We start from the raw sequence: 14,540 nt of genomic DNA on the forward strand, positions 1-14,540 counted from the left end.
ACCTGGTCCTTCCGAAGGGTCTGGAGGGCCCACTGTCCGCCCCTGCCGCCGGCAGTCACATGGAACCCTCTCAGGCTATTTTCCCATAGGTTTGCTGAGCCAAACTTCTCCCTCAGCTCTGCACCCCTCCTGGGCCATGTTCCCACATGGAGTCCCTGGCCACAGTCACCTGCTTGCTTCTTAAGGATGTGTCCCCAAAGCCGCACATTTCCCACTGGGCTGAGACTCACAGCACCTCAGCTCACCCCACCTGGGTCTCGCTGGTCACCCTCCCACCATGGGGTTTGCCAGATGCTTTCTGGACCACTGTCCTCCCTCCCTGGCGCAAGCCCTCAGGTCCCTCCTCTCCTCTGCAGTGGCTCCTGCGGAATGAGGTGCCCCTGTGTGCTGTGGCCACCATCCCAGCCCACCAGCGCTAAGGAGCCAACACATTTTCTCATCTTATGCTCAAATTCCTGTTCAATCATGTGTGCTCTTTCCCAGGTGAATGGGACAGATCACTGGCTGTGAGCACAGCCCGTCTCCCCCGGCTCTCACAGATTCCTCTGTCATCCCTGAAGTCCCCTACAGGTCTGAACTCTGCTTCACTGACCTCAAATCCATCCACACACTTGTCATTTCTGCCTAGGCAGCTGCAACCTCTATGAGGTCACCACCCACTCTAATCTGCCTCTGGAGGTGTGTATGAGCGGCCAGGGCTCCCCAGGTGAAGGCCGGGTCCTGGCTGGGCTGTCAAGGACTGACAGCTTCTGTGGGCTATAGGGTCAAGCCCCAGGTCCTTCCCACCCCCTGCCTCACACGCAAGCTCTGGGTCACAGCACCTCCAGGCTGGGTGACAGTTCTGAACAAGGCAGAACCCACACCACCCGTAAGTCCCAGGCCTCTGCGTCTTCAGCTCCTTCCTAAGCGCCAGACCCTGCAGAGTGCAGTGAACCCAGCCACTGCTGAGGCCTGAGGACTCCAGCTCTTCAAACCAGGGCCAAGCACGAGGCCTCCAACACTGGAGAGCTTGTGACACCTCCACTGGCCTGGAGCCTGGACAGCCAGGGCCACATGCCCACATGCCTCGTTCTGCCACAAAGCCACCACCCCCACCCCCAACCAAACTAGTCTACAAAGCCAGGGGCCAAGCCAGGCTGGAGGCTGACCCCTGCCTCCCCCCGACACAGGGGCTTCGTTCTGCTTGGAACTAGCCTCTGAGTCACCAGCGGCCGGCCCCGGCGGCCCCTTGCTTTGCCAGGCATGGACATGCACTCTGGGCAGGAGGAAGGGAACGAATGAGCCAGTACTTGGTAGGCGTGGAGGGCCTGGAGGCTGGGTTGGGCGGGGCTGTAGAGGGCGCTGGAGACACTGAGTCGGTAGTGCAGAACCTCCAGCTGAGATAAGAAACAGAGAGATGCCGGAAGAGGCCGAAGAGCAGAGGACAAGAGAATGGGGTGGGGAAGGGGAGAGATAGGACCAGACACGGGAGGGGGAAGCGGAGAGAGAAAGAAAGCAATGAGAACGAGCCCAGGAGTGAGGAGAAAAAAACAAAAACAAAGCACGGTCAGTGACAATCCAAACAATTGCAGTCCCAGCAGCCGCGGGCCAGCGCAGCACCCCCCTCCACAACCAGGCCAGGGCTGTGGCCACACTCTCCTCGCTTTGAAGGCCCGGGCAGAGGGGCCTCCAGGTCACCTGGGTGGCCCCTCAGTATTGCTGGGGCCTAAAGGCCTCTCTAGCTCCTTGGAAGGGCCCAACTCACTGCCCTTCAAGACGGGACCCACTCTCCCCAGTGACTGAGGTCACACTATGTGTGGCAAATGCAAACCAGAGCCCTCCAAGAGCCCAGGGCCCTCACTGGGACATGCTGCCAGCCACCAAGACCTCAAGATCCTGAGGCTCAGAAAAGAAACCAGCGGAGCATGTTCCAGGAGGAGCACTCTGCCCAGAAAACACATGTGGAATTGACTGGATTTCCCTGGGTTGTCTTAAGAAATTTACCAAATTGGTATAAGACATGATTGATTCCTATGTGTCTAAAACTCAAATCAATGTCCCCTCCATGACTGGCTCTCTGAGAACTGAGGGCGAGGACAGGTCCCCAAGGGTAGCACAGAGACGAGGAGCACAGGCTCAGGCCACCAGGCCCTGCCCTCCACCCTCATAGTCTGGACGTCAGCTAAGGTGGTGTGCACATCAGCTCTGACTCCTGGAGGCAGCCTCTCCTACCGCACCAGAAACTCCCACCCTCCAGATACAGTGGGTTCCCAAGGGCGGGAGCCCCTGAGGATCTGGCCACAGCCACACACACCCAGAGGCAGCAGGAACCTGAGGCTGAGCTGGCTCCTAGCCAGGACCCTCCGACCTGCTGCCCTGCAGCACCACGGCCTGCCGAAGCACCCCTTCAGCCCAGTGCAGCCACAGCCGGCCTGGTGCACATCCTGCCCCGCCAGCAGCATGCCTCCTGCCCAAGCAGCACACCCACTGGGCTCCACACAGGAGAAATCAGAACACACGCCAGTCGCCATGACACGCAGAGCAGGGAGTGAAGGAGCAGGGCAGGGAGGTGTTGCCCTCCACAGCCTTCCTCTGTGCCAGACCTGGGGCTCAGGGAGGAATCAGACACATAGTTCCCCAGTGTGGCTCTGCCCTTGCTTGCAGGAACACAGTGGCCTACAGCGCCATGGCCATCCTTACTGCCCACAGGGCCACTGGGGAGCAAGCATGCATCCTGGACTCAAGCAGGGTGAGGAGGATGACCCCAGGAGCCTCACTTCCTGCATCTGAAAATAAGGGCTAGTGGGGACGGGCAGGGATTTCTGCATGGCAGTACGTGTAGCACAGGCCTGGACAAGCGGCAAGAAGCCTTGGGAGACACAGACCTCCACAGCTGCCTTTCTCTGACTCCCACCCACCAAGTTTTCTTGCGTTTTGTGTTTTGCCTGAACTGGAAGAGGCGAAGAGTGGAGCATCTCTGGGTACTTGGTCCGGCCACTGCAAGGTATTCTGAGCAGGGTCCACCCACCCCAAGGTCTGGCCAAGAGGAAGCAAATGTGGGGAAGAAGGGAACTGCACCTCCTGCCCTCCACAGGGACAGCCCCCTGCCCTTCCTCTGGCCCGTGAGGACACAGAATCCTCACAGGTGACAGCCTCAAAGAGCCTTTCTGGCTGACTCTTGAAAGTAGGTGTGCTTCCACTCCCTCAGAAGGCAGAAGGAGCAACAGGAACACAATGCGGTGCAGTGGCCTCTGCCCCTGCCAGGCCACGCCACGCCACGCCACATGCACGAGTGCTGAGTGTCCCAGAGCCCCACGGGAGGAGCAGGCTCAGGGAATAACCAGGCCCCCAGGCACCGGCCAGGAACATGCAGCAAGTCTGCTCTGGAAGCAGGAAGGGCACTGCAGGCTCTTTGTGACTCAAGAGGCCCAAGATGGGGTCCTCAGCTTTTCCCCATTCTCCGCCCATGTGATTCTGAGGGTGAGGATTTGGGGGACCCTATGCTCTGAGAGAGCCTCCACATGGCAAAGCATGGGGCCATGGAACTGGCTGCAGACTGTGGCAGAAGCAGACCCACAGCTCTTTGCCAGAACCAGAGGAAAAGTGACAGGATGCTCTTCTGAAGTTTAACTCCATCACCCACATTCTGGAGGAAGCCCTCAATAATTCTGTCAGTGACAAAGCCAAAGTTTCCCAAGCATACTGATGCACAGACGCCATGGGCACCAGACTACGTGGCTGATGCCACTTCAGGCAAGGGCACGGATGGGCATGAGTCAAGCTGCTCCATGGAGATGACTGACTGGAGATCTAAGGTTCACCTAGCTGCTTTCTCACTCTGACCGGTCCAGGGGTGGTGCTAGCTCCAGGAACGGCAACAGCAGGAATGACCCAGGGCCTCCGCCACCTCCATGCATCTGAAAGCAGCGTGCTGCCCAGAGAGAGAGAGCAGGGACAGGCGAGGCGGAGGGAGAGGAGGCAAGCCAGGCTGCATGCAGGGGGGCACCAGGTGCCACTCGCCACGAGAAGGGCTGCTTGCTCATGCTCTGGAGAAGGTGGGGGAGTAGGGTGAGCAGGCAAAGGAGGCTCCAGGCCACCCCTTCATGGGAAAGCACAAAGGCACTGCTGATGGTCGAGGAGACAGACAAGAAAGTGACTCCCTGAGGCATCGCAGCTCCCCCACTCCCAGAGCAAGAGCACCACAACCTCATCTGTTCCTGCTGCCAGGGAGGGGGCTCAGGAAGCTGCACAGGGAGGGCCCCGGAGAGGCCAGACTTCCAGGCCTCAAGTTTCTACACATCAGGGTGCAATGCCCCCTGCCCGCCACCGGAAACTAGAGAACGATGCCCACTTCTTATTTGGCTTCTGAGTGACAGGTGGGTGGTGGGTTTCTGCTTCCCACCATCCAGCCTGTGAAAACTCACTCAGAGGCAGGATAAGAAGCAGCAGGCTGAGCAGGGTCAGAAGCAGGAGGTGGGAAGAAAAACTGAAAACATACCTTGGCATGAGGGGACTGCATTTTTTGATACATCTCCAAGGAATAGTGATGAAGCCACATTTCAACAAAAACCTGCAAAAAAGCATTAGCTAGTCAAACCATTCTTGACAATGGTGTCAGACCATCCAGTGGGGAAAGGACAGTGTCTCCAACAAGCAGAGCTGGGAACACAGAATACCCATGTGCAGAACAGTGAAGCTGGGCCCTTCCTTCACACCATCACCAAAAAATAACTCAAAATGGGTAAGCGACCTGAGGATAAGCACTAAAACCATACACTCTTAGAAGAAAACATGGGAGAAAACTTCATAACACTAGATTTGGCAATGATTAATTAGATATGATGCCCAAAGCACAGGCAACAAAAGGAAAAAAAATAGACAACTAGACTTCATCAAAATCAACACTCTTGAGCATGAAAAAATACTATAGATAGAGTAAAAAGGCAACCAACAGGCATGGTGGCTCAACCCTGTCATCCCAGCACTTTGGGAGGCCGAGGTGGGTGGGATTACCTGAGGCCAGGAGTTCCAGACCAGCCTGGCCAACATAATGAAAATCTGTCTCTACAAAAAATACAAAAATTAGCTGGGTGTGGTGAGGCATCACACCTATAATCCCAGCGACTTGGGAGTCTGAGGTGGGAGGATTGCTTGTGCCCAGGAGTTTGAGACTGCAGTGAGCCAAGACTGCACCACTGCACTCTAGCCTGGCAACAAAGACAGACTCTGATTTAAAAAAAAAAAAAAAAAAAAAAAAAAAAAGGGCTGGGCACAGTGGCTCACACCTGTAATCCCAACACTTTGGGAGGCCAAGGCAGGTGGATCACCTGAGGTCAGGAGTTCGAGACCAGCCTGACCCAACATGGAGAAACAGTGTCTCTACTAAAAATACAAAATTAGCCGGGCGTGGTGGCGCATGCCTGTAATTCCAGCTCAGCTACTCAGGAGGCTGAGGCAGGAGAATCGCTTGAACCCAACAGGCAGAGGTTGTGGTAAGCCAAAATCGTGCCACTCCACTCCAACCTGGGCAACAAGAACAAAACTCGGTCTCAAAAAAAAAACAAAAAAAAAACCCAGCAACTCAAGTGTCTACTGAGAGATGAATGAATAAACACAATGTGGTACATCCACACAATGGAACACTATTCAGCCCTAAAAAGCAAGGAAATTCTGACACATGCTGTAACATGGATTAATCTTTAGTCCATTATGCTAAGTGAAGCATGCTACTCACACACAAATAAGTACTATGTGCTACGCATACTCTGGGTATGAGATCTAGGAGTCAACTCCATAGAAACAGAGAGCAGAATAGTGGTTGCCAGGTGCTGGGTGGGGAATTGTTTAATGGTTTGATTTCCTTGTTTTTCATTAGAAGAGATGGGGTCTCACTATGCTGGCCAGGCTGGTCTTGAACTCCCGGCCTTGAGCAATCCTTTCCTGCTGGGCCTCCCAACGCACTAAGATTAGAGGTGTGAGGCCCCTGCGCCCGGGCTGGTTCAGTTTCAGTTTTGCAAGATGAAAAGCATTCTGGAGATTGCATGCACAACAACATGACTGTATTCAACACTACTGACTGTACACTTGGAAATAGTTAAGACAATAAGTTTCATGTTATATATATCTTATAATTAAATTTTTTTCTTAGTTAAAAAAACAAAAAGGGCCGGGCACGGTGGCTCACGCCTGTAATCCCAACACTTTGGGAGGCCAAAGCAAATGGATCACTTGATGTCAGGAGTTCGAGACATGGTGAAACCCCATCTCTACTAAAAATGCAAAAATTAGCTGAGCATGGCAGTGGGCACCTGTAATCCTAGCTACTCGGGGGGCTGAGGCGGGAGAATCACCTGAACCTGAGAGGTGAAGGTTGCACAGAGCCAAGATTGAGCCACTGCACTCCAGCCTGGACAACAGAGGGAGACTCCATCTCAAAAAAAAAAAAAAAAAAAAAAAAAATGCTTTGGCCCAGGGAACAGCAGAACCTTCCAGTTCTTCCCTATAAGCGCTGTGTCATGATCTTCTGCCCTCTTCATGGCCAGCACAGCCTACGGTCCACACAGCCAAGAGCCATCTGGGCATCATGGTCCCCTCTGTGAACAGGGGCAACGGTTCTTACCATTCCACCCTGCGAGGATGCTGTGAAATGGTATGGAGGCTTCAAAAAGTGCAGCACCCCAAATACTAGGAGTTACATATAAGATGGGAGATAGAATCCTATCTTATCTACATGCCAGGCTGTAAAGCAAGGCTGTGGCTACCAAGTCAGCCCCAGGATCCAGCGTCAGAAGCAGCACCTGCTGAATCTCTCTGTGTGCCTAGAAGACACAGCCAGGACCTGGGAGTTGGCCAGCACTCAGGAAGTGAGCCAGCCCATACCATCCTGACAGGCTGGAGCCCCTCTGGGCAGACAAGGAAATCTGTCACCTACTACTTGGATCCCCTGAATCAATGGAAGGCCTGTGGAGGCTGCACAGACCCCTCACCATTCAGTGTCATGGAAACCAAAAGACTCTGCAACAATTATATCACCACAGGCAAAACGAAACAACTTCCATGGACAGGGGATCCTGGGATGAAAAACGCCATCAATGACATTCAAGTTAAAAGGGTGGGCAGATTTACTTTCATGTTTTCTAAATGTCACAGCAGGAAAATATCAACAATTTAGAATCAGCCCCGGGCTGAGGGGCCGCCTCTGGGACTCTGCCCCACATAGTGGAAGGTGGCAACAGTTTCTTTTCTTTTTCTTTTTTTTTTTTTGAGATGGAGTCTAGTTCTGTCACCCAGGCTGGAGTGCAATGGCACGATCTCAGCTTACTGCAGCCTCCACCTCCTGGGTTCAAGCGATTCTCCCGCCTCAGCCTCCCGAGTAGCTGGGATTACAGGCGCCTGCCACCACGCCCAACTAATTTTTGTGTTTTTAGTAGAGACGTGGTTTCACCATGCTGGCCAGGTTGGTCCCAAACTCCTGACCTCAGGTCATCTGCCCACCTAGGCCTCGCAAAGTGCTGGGGATTATAGGCACGAGCCACCATGCCCAGCTGGCTGAACAGTTTCTTTTGACCAGCTCAACTCTCACCTGGAGCAGAGTTTCTGACCTCCAGATCTCGTGGGAGGCGGGGTCTGCATTCACAGACGTCTGATGAGAGATGTGTCGCTTTAGGAGGCTAGTGTGGTGGAGGCCATAGGAAGCAAAGGGTATGGCTGGTGTCCTGAGGGAGACACAGAAACAGGCCCGAGTTACAGGCTCCCGCTGTAACTCGCTCCCGCTGTAACAGGGGCAATCTGGATATCAAAATCAACGAGAGCAGGGACAGATTACAACTTGTTCAATAGCACAATGCACACCTCCCCCCAGCCCCCTGATCCACACTGATATACCTGAATAAATAAATAGCAAAGAGAGAAGTCTTCCTTACCACAGAGTGACCATTGACCCACAAATCAATGAAGGAGGGATGAAGTTAGAGAACCACCATTTAGTAACCGCCCTATTAATAGCTGATTTGGTCAAGAATCAACAGTGAGGTTGGGCATGGGGGTTCACACCTGTGAGCATGGGGGCTCACACCAGCACCTTGGGAGACCAAGGCAGGAGGATTTCTTGAGGCCAGGCATTTGAGATCAGCCTGGGCAACAAAATGAGAACCTATCTCCACAAAAACATTGAAACATAAAACAGCTGGGCCTGGTGGCATGTGCCTGTAGTCCTAGCTACTTAGAAGGCTGAGGAGGGAGAATGGCCTGGGCCCACGAGTTGAGGCTATAGTGACAAATGATCGTACCAACTTCACTCCACCCTGGGGTGACAGAGCAAGACCCTGTTTCTAAAAAATTAAGAAATTCCCAGCCTGGGCAACATGGCAAAACCCTGTCTCCACAAAAAAATACAAAAATTAGCCAGGTGTGGTGATGCCTCCCTGTAGTCCCAGATACTTGGGGGGTTGAGACAGGAGGATCACTTGAGCCCAGGAGGTTGAGGTTGCTGTGAGCAGAGATCGTACCACTGCACTCCAGCCTGGGGTAAGAGAACAAGACCCTGTCTGCAAATAAAATCAATTTGAAAAAATAGGAGAATCAAAAGTGGATGTTAATACTACTGATAATTACATAGTCTCCATACATCTTCCCGGTAAATTCTCGTTATCAATTTTTTTTTGAGACAGGATCGTACCCTATCGCCTAGGCTGGAGTGCAATGATGCAATCACAGCTCACTGCAACCTCAACCTCCTAGACTTAGGCCTCCCAAGTAGCTGGGACCAACACCACCACGCCTGGCTGATGTTTTTCTTTTTAGTAGAAACAAGGTCATGCTATGTTGCCCAGGCACTATTAATTTTTTTTTTTTTTTTTTTGGTTGAGATACGGTCTCACTCTGTAGCCCAGGCTGGAGTACAGGGGCATGATCTTGGCTCACTGCTACCTCCGCCTCCTGGGTGCAAGCAATCCTCCCACCTCAGCCTCTCAAGTAGCTGGGATTACAGGCGCACACCACCACACCTGGTTATTTTTAAATTTTTGGTAGAGATGGGATTTTGCTATGTTGCCTGAGCTGGTCTCACACTCCTGAGCTCCAGTGATCCGCCCACCTCAGCCTCTCAAAGTCCTGGAATTACAGGCATGAGCCACCATGCCCAGCCTCATTACTATTTAACCTGGGCACAAAGTAATTATTTTACAATGGAAAAACCTGACCGGCACCTTTTTAACCCAGTGATAAAAGGGCACCTGGCAAGGACCAGGTGTCCCACTACGGTGCTCCTCCCAACAAAGCCCATGCTGGGCCTAGTCACCAGCAAATACCACACAGCCTAAGGGGCGGCCGCATGCTCTGGAGGGGTCAAGGTCAGGAAAGACAGAAAGGCAAGGGACCATTCCTGACTGAAGGGGACTAGAAATATCACTATATACAGTGGGTGAGCCTGTGAAACATCACTGCACACAGTGTGAGGCCTGGTGGCAATACTAACTTCCTGGTGTGGTTACAGGCACTGTGACTATATAGGATAATGCATTCGCTTCTAGGAAATACACTGAAATATTAAGAGGTCAAGGGATGCCATATCCTGTAGCTTACTCATATTGGCTTAGAGAAAAAAAAACACATACAATAGAGGTGGAAACCAACACATGCAGCAAAGTATTAACAGTTTGGAAATCTGGGTGAAGATCTATGAAAGTTTCTTTTTTTTTTTTTTCCCTGAGACAGGATCTTGTTCTGTTACCCCAGGCTAAAGTGCAGTGGCACGCTCACAGCTCATTGCTCCTGGGCACAAGTGATCCTCCCACCTCAGCCTCCTGAGTAGCTGGGACCATAGTTGCACATCACCATACTTGGCTAATTTTTTTTTTGTAGAAATGAGGTCTCCCGACGTTGCCCACACTGGTCTCGAATTCCTGGCCTCAAGTGATCCTCCCGCCTTGGCCTCCCAAAGTGTTGGGATTACAGGCGTGAGCCACTGTGCTCAGCCTGCAAGTTATTTTTATTATGCGTGGAAACTTATCTGTAAATCTGAAGTTATTTCAAAATAAAAAGTTAGGTGTGGTGACTTGCAACTGTAATTCCAGCTACTTGGGAAGCTGAGGCGGGAAGATTGCTGAGGCCAGGAGTTCAAGACCAGCCTGGGCAACACAGCGAGGCATCCCCATATCTCCGCAAAAAAAAAAAAAAAAGTTAAATTAGCTGGCTGTAGTGATGCATGCCTATAGTCACTGATGTGACAGGCTGGCTTGAGTGATGATTGTGCCACCAAGTGATGATTATGACACTGCACTCCAGCCTGTGTGACAGAGTAAGACCGTCTTTAAAAATACATAATGGCTAGGCCAGGAGCGGCGGCTCACACCTGTAATCCCAGCACTTTAGGGGGTCGAGGCAGGCAGATCACTTGTGGTAAGGAGTTCAAGATCAGTCTGCTCAACATGGTGAAACCCTGTCTCTACTAAAGATACAAAAATTAGCTGGGTGTGGTGACAGGCACCTGTAGTCCCAGCTACTTGGGACTGAGCCAGGAGAATCACTTGAAGCAGAGACAGCGCCACTGCACTCCAGCCTGGGCAACAGAGTAAGACCCTGTCAAAAAAAAAAAAAAAAGCACACAATGGACCAGTGTAGTGGTTCATGCCTGTAATCTCTGAACTTTGGGAGGCTAAGGCAGGAGGATCGCTCGAGCCCAGGAGTTCTAGAGCAGCCTGGGCAACATAGCAAGACCCATCTTACAAAAAAATAAAATAAAAGCTAGGTGTGGGGGTGCATGCTTATAGTACTAGCTACTTGGGAGGTTGAAGTGGGAGGATCACTTGAGCTCAGGAGGTCAATGTTGCAGTGAGTTGTGATCACAACACTGCACTCCAGGCTGAGCAACCCAGCCAGGCCCTGTCTCAAAAAAAAAAAAATGCTGGGTGCAGTAGCTCACACCTGTAATCCCAGCACTTTGTCTGAGGCCAAGGTGGACGGATTGCCTGAGGTCAGGAGTTTGAGGCCAGCCTGGCCAACATGGTGAAACCCCGTTACTACTAAAAATACAAAAATTAGTCGGGCATGCTGACCTGTGCCTGTAATCCCAGCTACTTGCGAGGCTGAGGTGGGAGAATCACTTGAACCCAGGAGATGGAGGTTGCAGTGAGCCAAGATCATGCCACTGCACCACTCCAGCATGGGCGACAGAGTGAGACTCCATCTCCAAACACAAAATAAAATAAAATAAAATAAAATAAATAAATAAACCCAAACCATATATATATAATTTCTTTTCTTTTTTTTTTTTGTGTGTGTGTACAGTGGTGCAATCTCAGCTCACCACAACCTCCGCCTCCCGGGTTCAAGCAATTCTCCCGCCTCAACCTCCTGAGTAGCTGGGATTACAGGTGTGCACCACCATGCCCAGCTAATTTTTGTATTTTTAGTAGACAAGGTTTCACCATGTTGGCTAGGCTGGTCTCGAATTCCTGACCTCAGGCGATCCCTCCACCTTGGCCTCCCAAAGTGCTGGGATTACAGGCATCAGTCACCACTCCCAGCCTACGTATATAATTTCTAATAGAAAAAATTAAAACAACCCAAAAAGTTAAAACAAGCAAAAAAACCAGGCATCAAAAACTGCTTGGCAGCTGAATTCTGCATCTAAGAGGGTGTGAATCTGCCTCACCTCCGAGTCCTCCACAGGATCAGCAACATTTCAGGGTCACTGATCACTGCCGCTACCTGGGCAGCGTCTCCTCCTTGCCACTCCCTTTCTCCCCTCCACCCTCTGGGGAATCTGTCCACACGTGAATTGTAGGTAAAGGCCTGGCCTGCCTTACACATGCCAGCAGATCTGGGGTGGGCCAGCATCTGCAGGAAGGGGCCTGCATGCAGCTTCCTGGGGAAGGCGATGGGCCAGTGAGATTAAAGAGGGTCAGAGGTGCACAGGCAGCTGCTGCTGGGGCAAGAGGGTCTCCTGGGAAGTCGGCCTGCGTTAGTGCCCACTGAGGACCCAGGACAGCCAGGCATGAGAGCCCCTGGTTCACACTCCCAACCTGTGCAGGCACGCATCAGGCTCAGCCTGTTTGGACTGACAAAACAGGCTCTTTGGCCCAGGGCCTCCCCTTCAAGATCTGCTCCTGGGGCCCATAGAGATTCCTATTTTTTTTGCTCATAGGACAACCTTTCCACCCTGCTCACTGACTCAGACACCGCCTGTGGGGACGGCTGCTCCATGCACAACACAGCCCATTCCCATGCAGGCCGTGGAGGCCTCCAGGGACCTGATAGCTTCAGTGATGGCCAAAGACACTGAACACTAAGGACAGATTGCCCGCCATACCCCACCCTCCAGTCTGTGCTAAGACAGCTGGGGATGGGGAATGAGGCATAAGAAAAATTGGGGAACCGTGGACAAAGGGTGGCAACATTGTCCCCGTGGGCGATGCAAGTGACCAGGCCACTCCCTTATGGAAGGGCCAGGTCTTAACAAAGGGCAGCCTTACCTGGGAGGTGGTGAGGGGCTGGTCCCCCCTGGGCTGGAGGAGAGTGGTGGGGGCACACTGCCTTCGGTGGGCAGGAACCATGACAGGTACCTGTCCACCAGGATGAAATAGGCACAGTCTGAAGTACGGACGTGGAGGGACACAGGAAGTGGCTGGAAAACCAAGCTAGTTGTTAGCATGGGCTCTGGACACTGCCAGGCCACCAAGCACCAACAAGTGCAGGGAAGCCCTGGGCCGTGGCCCCACCTCTCCCAGCAAAAGGCATCCCTTCCTTACCTTCTGAGTGATGAGGCTCAAGGCAAAGAAGAATATGTAATACTCGAACGGATCTGAGAGCAGCGTCAGGGGCAAACATGCAGGGTTGATGAGCCACCCCCCGCTCAGTGTCAAGTGCTGGGCCACCCACAGCCTCCCTACCTCAGGGCCACCAAAGGATACTCAGGGCCAAGTTCAGACCAAGGCCCCCAGTAGGGGTGAACTGGACCTTGTTGTGGTACAGAGGACTGTCAGGGAGGATGCACTCCTGGATGGACGCCTTCACAGGACCCTGCAGAGAGAGGCAGTGAGGCTTGTGGGCAGGTGCTGGTGCGTAGTGCCCGATACGCAGTACCCCACATGCACAGCAGCACTTTGGGAAGGCTGCTGGGGAAGAGACCCACACACAGAACCCACCTGTGGGGACAGTGCCCTGCCTCTGAGCAGTGCCTGAACAAGAGTCTTTGCTTAGAACTTCTCCTACCATCATCTCATAAAGAGCTGCAGACAGCAAGGGTAGCAGTCATGCAATACCCATTTCCTTTGCCTCTCACACCCCTGGAACGAATCGCTCCTCAATTTGCCCTCAGAGGACTGGAGGAGATTGCCCATCACCACAGGGCTGTGCAAGGCCCACTGCCCCGAGCACCACTCTCGCCACTGTGGTTTACTTACAGGCAAGTAGGAGACAGGAAAGTCGAACTTATAGTCTTCAGCTTGAAGCTTATAAACCAACTTCATCATTGGGCCACTGAACACGAAATTGAACAAACAAACAAAAACAGGGCAAATGAACTGCGAATTATCTTGCTTTGATTGTTTCTTAATCTTGAGAAATTCAGAGAGTGCTTTAAAGGTGGAATCACCATGAGGAATCACCCAGCCTCTCTCCGGTGACCAACCTACCTACCCAGGGTCGAGAAATTCCATCACGATGCTGTACTCCACAGGATTCACGCGCCCCTGTAAGCAGCGGAGGTTCCAGCCAACGAGGACACCATCTAGGCTGCCAAAAATGCTTTCTACCAGCCATGGGAAGATGGTGTGCAGCTCCTGAAACAATGTGTGGTGAAGCCGCGTGCAGGACCAGCACCCACTCCTGCCCCGGCTCTAGTCCTGCACCACCTGCTGCCCAGCTCCCTCTGAGGAAGCCACTCCCTGGCTAAGACCTATGGGATCAGCCCTGCACCCAAAGGAAGCCTGGTGCCATGGTGCCAACGACAAGAGCAGCTTTACGTTCTTCCAGTGGGGTACATGGCATACCAAGCAGTGTTGCTTTAGACTTGGGCCAGTTAAGTAAGTCAGCCTCCGATCAAAATACATTTTTTGTGTGTGATAGAAGATTAAATTAAGAAAAATAAATAAATTTAAAAAAAAACAAACAATGAAAATAAAAAAATATAAAATAAAAAAATAAACAAAATACATATTTATTGAGACAAGGTCTCACTCTGTTGCCCTGGCTGGAGTGCAGTGGCGCAATTATGGCTCACTGCAGCCTCGACTTCCTGGGCTCGAGCAATCCCCCCACCTCAGCTTCCTGAGTAAATGGGACTATAGGCACACACCACTACACTCAGCTAATTTTTAAATTTCTTGTAGAGATAGGTTCTCAGTATGTTGCCTAGGCTGGTTTTGAGCTCCTGGGCTTAAGTGATCCTCCCACCTCGGCCTCCCAAAGTGTTGAGATTACAGGCATGAGCCACCACAAAAAAAAGATTCTTTAAACAGTGATGGAAACTTCTGACTTGAAGGATGCTCTATCAGAAAGGAAAGCAACATCCTTTCCAGAGTGAAGCCCCTGAAACCTAACTGACCTATTGCCATTTGGTA

The 14,540-nt window shown here is 52.1% G+C and overlaps 1 protein-coding gene across 9 annotated transcripts in view, besides 2 other annotated features; it reads right to left on the reverse strand.

The window, feature by feature from the left end:
* Positions 1 to 14,540, reverse strand: part of SMPD4 (sphingomyelin phosphodiesterase 4) — a 30,366-nt gene that overhangs the window by 8,505 nt on the left and 7,321 nt on the right. For 2 of the 9 annotated variants that reach the window (XM_011511443.3, NM_017951.5), the window contains exons 4-11: positions 13,618 to 13,760; positions 13,383 to 13,458; positions 12,891 to 12,999; positions 12,729 to 12,781; positions 12,453 to 12,604; positions 7,562 to 7,694; positions 4,478 to 4,549; positions 1,290 to 1,376 (exon numbers count right to left, since the gene is read on the reverse strand). In XM_011511443.3, the coding sequence (XP_011509745.1) occupies positions 1,290 to 1,376; positions 4,478 to 4,549; positions 7,562 to 7,694; positions 12,453 to 12,604; positions 12,729 to 12,781; positions 12,891 to 12,999; positions 13,383 to 13,458; positions 13,618 to 13,760 (825 nt within the window). Of the gene's footprint in view, positions 1 to 1,289; positions 1,377 to 4,477; positions 4,550 to 7,561; positions 7,695 to 12,452; positions 12,605 to 12,728; positions 12,782 to 12,890; positions 13,000 to 13,382; positions 13,459 to 13,613; positions 13,761 to 14,540 lie in introns of those variants that run through there. The other 7 variants (NM_017751.4, XM_011511444.4, XM_047444938.1 and 4 more) reach the window with 6 other exon arrangements.
* Positions 488 to 1,117: an enhancer, noted in NCBI's record as "H3K4me1 hESC enhancer chr2:130917957-130918586 (GRCh37/hg19 assembly coordinates)". NCBI's record gives its function as "activates a minimal SCP1, AML or CMV promoter by ChIP-STARR-seq in naive H9 embryonic stem cells {active_cell/tissue: H9 hESC(naive)}" and the evidence as "EXISTENCE:reporter gene assay evidence [ECO:0000049][PMID:30033119]".
* Positions 4,355 to 4,538: a silencer, noted in NCBI's record as "fragment chr2:130921824-130922007 (GRCh37/hg19 assembly coordinates)". NCBI's record gives its function as "represses an EF-1alpha promoter that drives an FKBP-Casp9 reporter gene in an ReSE screen in HepG2 liver carcinoma cells {active_cell/tissue: HepG2}" and the evidence as "EXISTENCE:reporter gene assay evidence [ECO:0000049][PMID:32094911]".

This window comes from Homo sapiens, chromosome 2 (assembly GCF_000001405.40).
Source record: "Homo sapiens chromosome 2, GRCh38.p14 Primary Assembly".
In the NCBI taxonomy this organism is placed as follows: Eukaryota; Metazoa; Chordata; class Mammalia; order Primates; family Hominidae; genus Homo; species Homo sapiens.